At 44.7% G+C, this 9,915-nt stretch overlaps 1 pseudogene, besides 1 other annotated feature; it reads right to left on the bottom strand.

The window, feature by feature from the left end:
- Positions 453-955: an enhancer, noted in NCBI's record as "H3K4me1 hESC enhancer chr13:46254125-46254627 (GRCh37/hg19 assembly coordinates)". NCBI's record gives its function as "activates a minimal SCP1, AML or CMV promoter by ChIP-STARR-seq in primed H9 embryonic stem cells {active_cell/tissue: H9 hESC(primed)}" and the evidence as "EXISTENCE:reporter gene assay evidence [ECO:0000049][PMID:30033119]".
- COX4I1P2 (cytochrome c oxidase subunit 4I1 pseudogene 2) lies at positions 8,554-9,100 on the bottom strand (annotated as a pseudogene).

Genomic DNA, 9,915 nt, shown 5'->3' with positions numbered 1-9,915 from the left:
AAGACAAGAAGCAGACTCCAGCTTTGGAGAGATGGGTAGGAGACGCATTTGGCCTGGTTCAGCTACTACTTTAGATGTAGATCTTGAACAAGTTTCAAAAATGAATGAAAGTAGCTTTTTATGAATCTGGGCCCGATCTCCCGATTGCCCCTCCAGAGCAGCTCCCTGCCCTTCCCTGCCCCTGAAGGCTGACCTGTGAGCCCCTTTGGGCTGCTGATGGACCTGTGCTCCCACCCTGGCTCAAAAAGCAAAGAAAAGGGAGTGGCTATCAGAAAATGGAAGAAGAGAGTAAAGAAGACAGTGCTGGCTTGAGAGAAGCAGTGGCTTCAGGTAAAAGGCTACTGCCAGCGATATGGACGGGAGACAGAGAAATGCTAGAAGAGGGCGGTTCCCCAACAAAGGCCCCACCCACAAGCCTGGACACCTGTGGCCCTAAATGAGAACAGGCATTCCTGTTTTTGCACCCAAAAAGTGGTCTTTTGGTATGCCACACCCCCTATCCTATACCCATATAAACCCTGAACCCCAGGCTCCAGCTCAGACCAGCAGAGGAGGAGACGAGACAAGCAGACAATGCAGAACAGTGCAGCAGAGAGAACTCGAGAGGAATTCAGCCAGGGTGGTCAGAGAGGAGTTTGGCTGCTGGACAGCCCACTCCAAGGGAAGATCATCTTCCTACTCCATCTCCCCTCCTTCCAGCTCCCTATCCATCCTGCCGAGAGCCACCTCCACCGTGCATTAAAACCTCGCATTCATCCTTCAAGCCTGTGTGTGACCCGATGCTTCCGGGACGCTGGGCAAGAGCTCAGGATACAGAAAGCTGTCACACTGGCCCTCTGCCCTTGAGAAAAGGCAGAGGGTCCATTGAGCTGTTTAACACTTAAAGCCATCTGCGGATGGCAGGGCTAAGAGAATATTGTAACATTGGGGTTGCAGGCACCCACCCCAAGACACTACCATGGGGCCAGAGCCCAAAGCACCCACCCCAGCCTCTGCACCTGCCCATCTGAGTGCTCCCCCTCCCGCAAGGGGTTTGAGGCAACGGAGCAGGTCTCCTGGGAGGGGGATCAGGGAACTCTCCCATTTAACCAGCCCACAGACATGAAGACACCATGGGGAGTGTGGGGAGAGCCACGAGATGTGTACCATGACTGCCTCATCTTTCCACCCTCTGATCTCCTGTTGAGGGTTCCCACTGATCAAATCCAAGAAGCCAGAGGGGAAGAGAGTTCCTCAATGTAGTCAGCGTCCTGGAGCAAAGAGAGGAGAGGAGATGATCCAGGAGCAAATAGGAGACAACCAGCACAGTTCCCAAATGTGAGAAACTGACTACAGCAGAATCGACTTGAGGCACATTTTAAATATACACATGAATTCCTCAGACTCCCCCACTCCCAATTTCAGAGTATGTCAGGGGTGGGACCTAAATAATTTACGTTAAAAAAAAAAAATCTTGGCCAGGCACAGTGACTCATGCCTGTAATCCCAGCACTTTGGGAGGCCGAGGCAGGCAGATCACCTGATGTCGGGAGTTTGAGACAAGCCTGACCAACATGGAGAAACCCCCTCTCTACTAAAAATACAAAAATTAGCCGGGTGTGGTGGCGCATGCCTGTAATCCCAGCTACTCGGGAGGCTGAGGCAGGAGAATCGTTTGAACCGGGAGGCAGAGGTTGCGGTGAGCCGAGATTGCGCCATTGCACTCCGGGCTGGGCAACAAGAAAGAAACTCCCCCCCCACAAACAAATAAAAATAAAATAAATCTTAAATGATTCCAAAGCACAACCACGTTTGGAATACCTGGCCTTACGAGACACACAAATGACCTTGAAGATTTCAAAGCAGGTCCCACAATCCCTTCTCACCACAAGATTAGGCCCAACAAGACCATATCATCTTAGTTGGGCATAGTGGCTCATGCCTGTAATGCCAGCACTTTGGGAGGTTGAAGCAGATGAATCATCTGAGGTCAGGAGTTCGAGACCAGCCTGGCCAACATGGTAAAATCCCATCTGTACTAAAAATACGAAAAATTAGCCAGGCGTGGTGGCACACACCTGTATTTCCAGCTACTCAGGAGGCTGAGGCAGGAAAATCACTTGAACCCAGGAGGTGGAGGTTGCAGTGAGCCGAGATCATGCCATTGCACTCCATCCTGGGCAACAAGAGTGAAACTCGGTCTGAAAAAAAAAAAAAAAAAGAAGAAAGGAAGGAAGGAAGGAAGGAAGGAAGGAAGGAAGGAAGGAAGGAAGGAAAGAAAGATTCTTCTATAAAGCAAGCAACTGCATTTGGTACTATTCTAGTGTCCTCTCTGGAGTGGCACTTATCAAAGAAAACATTGGGTTACTTTCTGTCCTCAAGCACTAACCCCTAGGACAGCTGAACCTAAGGATACATTTTATACACTTGAACTCATTATTGTCCTTTTACCCCCTGAGTAGAAAATACAATAGCTCCAAAACAAACACCTGATTCCTTGAAAATGCTTCACAGGAAGCCAGCCCCTCAACTTGAAATGGTATCAGGTTACAATGGCTGAAGGAGACTGTATCTCCACAGACACCATTCATTGACAAGGCATGCCATTCAGAAGTTTCACTGAAAGATCATTCTCTCCATTATGATCATTGAAGTGAAGGCAAGAGGGGAAAAAAATTGACAGGCTGAACTCTAGAAACTTGGCTTCAGAAATGCCTATTAATCCAATACAATTCAATACAATAAAACATACAAACTCCTGGTAATCCTCAAGGTGCTCTTAAAATTGAAGTTGATTCTGCGAAAACTGCTTTCACCTACCATCATTAAGGAAAATTCCATTTTAACTCAATTCTGAAAAGGGAGGACATGAAGAAAAGTATCATGTCCAGGAATACAAAACATTGTGAACACTGGGACCCCAGGAAGGCGAAACAGGAGGTCTGTACCTAATCCAGACCTTGCCTTTGCCTGCTGCTACAGGTTCCAGGTCTAGCAACTGCTCATTTTCCTAGGGAATTAAATGGAGAAGATGTCTCATAATTTCCAATCACACAGCACAGTTCAATGGCAAGTTGTTTTCCCACAAAAGTAGTTTTATGGTTAATGCACCCAACCTGAAAAGAAGTTTGGGCAGGAGGTTGCGGGGCAGGGGAATTAAAGCAGAAGATATTTATTTCCTCACACGGCCAGAGTAACAAAAACACTGCATTTAACTGCAGGAGCTGCAAAGTGTAGTTGACCCATGTAGTATATGGGTCCCACAAGCCGTGGCTGGGATTGCTGGACTCCTGAGTCCTGTTCCCTGACAAGTTATTAATCTGCCATGTAAGCTTGAGCCAAGACCCTGAAATGTCTCCTTCTATCAATTTCCCACACGATACATGAAAATAAAAATATACTTACCTTTCAAATCCTATTAGATTCAAAATCCCTTTTTGTACTGGTGTGTCCCACTGTATCCAGTAGATTATGTCCCTAAATGCACTGAAATGCTGCTTACAAGGAATAAGAAATCAAATGGTTGACAAGTGGTGTTTTAACTACTCTCAGGCAGGTGACTTTAAAAGCACTCATTTACAAGAGTGGCTAAGAGGTCAGGTGCTAGAGACAGAGAGTTCTCTTTTCTTACTGTAACAAGAAAATTTTTTTGATAGATTAACCAACATTTTCTCCTTTCCCCTTAATTCCTATGATCCCATGAGACTTCTCCTCTGTGTGCCAGGACCTTCTGCATTTAGCACTGTATCAATGACAGTTTATTGAACAAGGATGCATGTTCCCACCCCACCATAATGTGAAGATGTTGCTGGGAAGTCACTGCCCAGCCAGGGGTGGACTGCCTCTCCCACCCACCTTGAGCTAGGCAGAGGCCATGAGACTGAGTTCTGGCCAGAGCAATGTGGGTAAAAATGATACACGCTTCTTCAGGACCATCTGCAGGATCATTAGCAAGACAAGGAACAGAATAGGATGCTTCATTCAACAGGAAGACTCCTTAAGTCAATTCAGGAAAATAGACATGGCCCTCCTTTCCTGTGAGTCCTTCAGCATCACATACTTCCTGAGAATCTGTGTAACTGCTTCCCTGACAAAAACTTGGCCTGTGCCTCCTTAAAAATCAAGCTACGCATCTATTGCCTGCCTACAATATGCCAAGATCTTTCACATACAAACACAAAATCTAATTTTTAAGAAAGGAAGAATTATCTCCACTTAACAGAGGAGAAAACTAGGGTCAAAAAGATGCAAGCGACTTGTCCAGCGTCGTTCACATAGAATTCATTAGCACTGAGGTTTGAAACCAGGGTTTCTGGCTCCAATACAGTGATGTTCACACCATTTCACAGCTTCCTCTTCTGGACAGTGTGCTCAAAGGAACCCCTAGCTCTCAATTGCTGTCACACTCAACCTTAGGCATTCTATACAAAATCTGAGGATGACAAATTGTAACCCACCTGTCTCTAAGGGGCAGCTTACTAAGATTCTGAGGAAAAAGAAAAGTTTTTTCTAAATTGTTTGATCTACATGAATGCATAGGCTGCAGGGTCCGACCATCTGTACTCCATTATCCTTGTGTAACTGACCACTGCCAGGTGTCATGCCAGCCAGCATGGATTAATTAGTTAGTATAAACCAAATCCAATGCAATTAATCATGCGAACTTGAACCCTTAATGTCCAATACTGCTAAAAACATGCCTTAAACTCAGGACACTATAAAGAATGACCAAAATAGAGATAGAAATAAGGCTTTGGATGTATGTGATTCATGTTTGAATCAAGCTTGATACCCATTTGCCCCCCAGGGACTCTCTCTCAACTTGCTATTGCTATCAATGAAAAATTTATGTGGCCCGAACACATATGGATTTCAGATCATGTGACCCACCATAGAAGAACCTCAGACAACCCTCCTGTGAACCCTTCCCTTTGGTTGTTCCAACCAATTAGGCCAATACATTCCAGACCTATCCGCAAGAGATACAAGGAGTTCAATGCCGAGGTTACCATGGCAGCCCCCCAATGACCCCCTTGAGAAGGGCTTCCATTTGCCAACCCCATCCCCTCCATTACGGGACTACAACACATTTATCACCTTAGCTTCCCAAGTGGGCTTCCAGATTGTCTTTGCTATTGATTGTTTTAGCAATTTAGGTAAGGAATTAGAGTGATGGGTTGGCAACTTCCTGTGTGCTTCTTTCTTCACTTCTTAAAGTTTGGTGCTAATTTAATCCATGTAAGAACGCTGTGTTGCTTGGGTGCCCTGATGGTGATTCAAGAGCTGGCTATTTATCTGCAAGACTTATCAAAACTCACTGACTGTGCCTATGTCCCCGGCTGATGTAAGATGCAAGATCAGGTGCCAGGCCGGGCGCGGTGGCTCACGCCTGTAATCCCAGCACTTTGGGAGGCCGAGGCGGGCGGATCACGAGGTCAGGAGATTGAAACCATCCTGGCTAACACGGTGAAACCCCATCTCTACTAAAAATAAAAAAACAAAATTAGCTGGGCGCGGTGGTGGACGCCTGTAGTCCCAGCTACTCGGGAGGCTGAGGCAGGAGAATGGCGTGAACCTGGGAGGCGGAGCTTGCAGCTAGCCGAGATCACGCCACTGCACTCCAGCCTGGGTGACAGAGCGAGACTCCATCTCAAAAAAAAAAAAAGATCAGGCACCAAAACCTTGTTCAGTCAAAAGCAAAGACTGTGAACAAATAAAGGAGCCAGCAAGACAGAAAATGCCAAAGCCAGGGAAGAAAAGCTTTGCATTGTTCTCCGAAGGATCACAGAGCTGGATTTGAGAGTCAGTGGGAAGGAGGGAATTGCACTTCTGTCAAGGGAAACCACATACCACAAGCATTTACCTCCTGCAATTCAACTCCCATGGCAGCATGCCAGTTTATCCCAAGGCATTATCACTCAAATATGTTCAACCAAGGAAAGCCAAAAACAGGGATAAATGATCCTCACAGGAAACCAAATGCCAGCAAGCAGCTCCCTTCCCCCACTCCTCCTCTCTCCCTTCTTTCTCTTCCTCTTCCTCCTCTTCCTTCTCTTCCTTCTTCTTCCTCCTAATGCTTTTTGGGTGATTCTGAAAACTTTCATTCCCTGGGCTGGAGTGATTTACCACACTATGAATTCTAATTTTAACCCCACCCGCAACTTATGGGTGACTGAAAAAAGCCACTGGGCCCCAATTAATTTCTTCAACCTCCTTACCCCCAAAAGAGAGATTGCCAAGGAGTTTTGCTGAAGACTTGACCATCTGAGAAATGGCCACTTACTTAGACTTGAGCCAAAGCCTCTCAATCTAAGGAAGTGTTTCCTAACCTGATTTTCATTATTGCACCACCCCCTCAGTGGCCTTTTTAGATTTTTTTTCCTAATTGCCCCCATCTATAAAATTTTAATACCACAGATATATAGATACTGTGTTTCAATTTGTGCATTCTATGTATATTTGTAATTTATACGTAAAAATAGTAAGACTTTTTTGGCCCCCAAGGACTAATTTTTGCCCTTTGGGAGAAAATATATAGGCTTAAATTCACACACAAAGTGTGACTGATATAGCAAGGCATGTCCTGTTGAGTGGAGACAATTGAGAGCCTAGTAAATGGTAAAAGGAAACAACTAGGAGAAAAAGAGTACAGCAGAAGCAGGGGGACCCAAGACCCGTTTATATATTTTATGATATTGTCAAGGACTGGACTTGAAGCTAGGCCTTACAGACCCAGTAGAGTCTATTTATTGATGAAAAGCATAAATATCACCTCCAATTGCTGAAACTACTGCCTTCCCCACAATTTAACAGGATCAGTCTTTAAAGGAAATATTATGCCAGGACTGATTTTAACTAATGAAAAAGGGCTTTATCAGAACAAAGCCCTTTCCTCTGCCCCTTCATCCCCACCATGGGACACCCAGTTGTGCTGTGTCCCTTCAGCTGTCCAGCAGTTCAACACCAGCCTCAACCCCCTCTGCAGTGCTCTGTGCTAGTCAGTCTATTACAGTGTTCTGTAATTAGCCAAGAGTAATTTAGACCCATATTTGTATTCCTCATCTCCCTGATTTTCTAAATTATGTGAAGGTGTTAAAACACAAACACACAGAGAGACAGAGAGATAGAGAGAGAAAGAGAGAGACTTAGCAGCAATTAACTGCAATGCTTTTAAAGCTTAGTTTTCATTTCATAGTTCTTTACGAGTCAGAAAAAAAAATACGAATAGCTACTAAAATCAAGTTTTATTTTACCGCTGGTTAAAAAAGCAGCAAGTGGCTTGAGAGGCACTATTATCTAAAGCAACATTTATGAATATTTTCCTTTTCTGCCTCATTTCTAGCTGTCAGCATTTCTTAGGCACACAAATACCATGGATGAAAATATATTTGGGAAAGATTGAGCCGAGGTGAGCATTGCTTATTGCTGTTTGAATGTATCCCCAAAGTTCACGTGTTGGATGTTGAAAACTTAGTCTTCGATACAACAAGGTAGAGCGGTGGCACCTTTAAGGTGGTTAGCTCGTGAATAGATTAATGCTGTTGTCTCAGGAGTACCCAGGGTTAGTTATCTGAGGAGTAAATTAGTTATCACAAAGTGGGTTCCTGATAAAAAGATGAGTTTGACCCCCTTCCTTCTCTCATGTTCTTTTGTCCTTCTGTCCACCACCGTGGGATGATGCAGCAAGAAGGCCCTCACCAGAGGCCACCACCTTGATGTTGGACTTCATAGCCTCCAGAATTGTGAGAAATAAATTTGTTTCTTTATAAATTTCCCAGTCTGTCGTATTCTGTTATAGCAACACAAAAAGGACTAAGACACTCACAAAGATAGTGTAGGAAAGAATACTCAAGGTCTCTGACCACTTTTGGAATACCAGCATTTTATTTTCGACAATGCTTAAGTTTAGGACAGTTAGTGACATCCTCATTTATTTTCTAGAACTGAAGACGCTGAGCCTCTAAAAATGCAACCCTCAAAAGGGTTATTCTCAGATAGCTGAGAGTAAACAGTACAAGTAAGAAAGATGGAATCACTCAGCTGTCAAACACTTGTTGAAAGGGCCCTTAATTTACAGGAAGCTTGTAGACCTGGTTATTTTTGGCAACAGTGAGCATAGGACCCTCTCTGGAATTTAGTATTTACTTGGGGATCTGAGCTTGCCCCTGGGGTACATGTTGAGATTACTACTCTCAAAGCTCAGCTGAGGATTCCAGACATCCAAGCAATACTGCAAGTCAGGGAGAAGACTGAGATGGCTGATGTAAGAAGAATCTACTTCATCATCTAATATTACAGAAAGATGGAGGCTGACATCTGGGAAGAATGTTCCCTCCACCACTTGCAGACACTAAGTGGCCACTTAAAGGTTTCTGTTCCCATTGTTCCTTTTAAGGAAGCCCTTGATGCCAATTTTAACCACATTTCACCTTCCACTTTTTTTTTTCATGGAAACTGCTCATTTATTAGCATTGGCACTATTTGACATAACAAGTTTCTGGTAAATATGCTGAGTTGCTTGGCAGTGACAGAACAAGGCAAGGTTCAGATGCACAAACAGCAGACTTCTGCTACTTCCATTGGTTCTTGTTGTAGTACCAGTTGGCAGAGAAGTCCTAGATGGGACTGACTTCATGTCTAGCATCCTCTTGGTCTGCATGCCCACACTCTTCATCAAAGCCGTGTGGGATGAGACCATACACAGTGTTTCTCCCGGATCAGAACAAGAGCTGTGAAGCCAAAGAACATGGCAGTGCCCACAACCATCTTCCACTTTTTCATGCCCCTGTTTATCCCAGAAAAGCTCCTGTTGAACTGAATGCAACACAACTCAACTTTTTCATCCATGGAGAGGTTGCTCCAGGAGGCTTTCTCCTTCTCCTTCAAGTCCTCCTGGCTGGCAGACAAAGGGCTTAAATAGGCCACATCAGGCAAGGGAGTGAGCAGCCACTCTTTGTGATTGGCCTTAGATTGCTTCAAAAGATACAAAATTAGGCCAGGCGTAGTGGCTTATGCCTGTAATCCCAGCACTTTGGGAGGCTGAGGCAGGCGGGTCACTTGAGACCAGTAGTTCAAGACCAGCCTGGCCAACATGGTGAAACCCCGTCTCTACTAAAAATACAAAAACTTAGCTGGGTGCGGTGGCAGGCACCTATAGTCCCAGCTACTTGGGAGGCTGAGACAGGAGAATCGCTTGAACCTAGGAGGCGGAGGGTGCAGTGAGCCAAGATCATACCTATTGCACTCCAGCCTGGGCGACAGAGTGAGATTCCATCTCAAAACAAAACAAAAAACAAAAAGATACAAAATTAATCTTTATTCTTGGGCTAGCTTGTCCACTTGAGCTCACACACCTAAAATCCCCTTGCTCATAGCGTATTTCATTTTATCAGATAGAGACATTCACAAGTCATCATGTTTGCCTTTTATCCTTGGCTGCCAGGAATCTCAAAGCCCAGTGTTACGCTTAAGTGCAGTAACTGTCTTTAGTGCACAGTTTTTACCACCATCCACCAACTCCCCGTCCTATATCCATTACCCAGTATTTGGCCTTTGTTCTTCTATCATCCTTGGATATACTTTTACAATAGGCCGCCCTACAGCTTTTTTGGTGAAAATACAAATAAAAGAAAAAGAGCTAAATTATCTTTAAATGACTTTGCATTTTGGAGCAGCAAAAGTCTTTGGGATACCCCTGTGTTGAGATCCTTATTGAGAAAGGCTGCTCTGGAGGCGATGCGCTTTAACAGGGTAACTAATACAGCACATCAGAAGTCATAAAACCTCTACATGTAATGTGCCCCACATGAACTGAAAGTCATCTCTGCCTCCGTTGGTGAAGTTCCCCATCTATAAAATGATGACAATGCTTGCTCCTTCTCTCTGTTACACTCGTGTTATGAGGATCAATGGGACAGCAACTATAAAGTGCTTTGA

Source organism: Homo sapiens, chromosome 13 (assembly GCF_000001405.40).
Source record: "Homo sapiens chromosome 13, GRCh38.p14 Primary Assembly".
Classification (NCBI taxonomy): Eukaryota; Metazoa; Chordata; class Mammalia; order Primates; family Hominidae; genus Homo; species Homo sapiens.
Note: the sequence above shows the minus strand (reverse complement) of the source record. Positions and strands in the feature narration are given on the sequence as shown.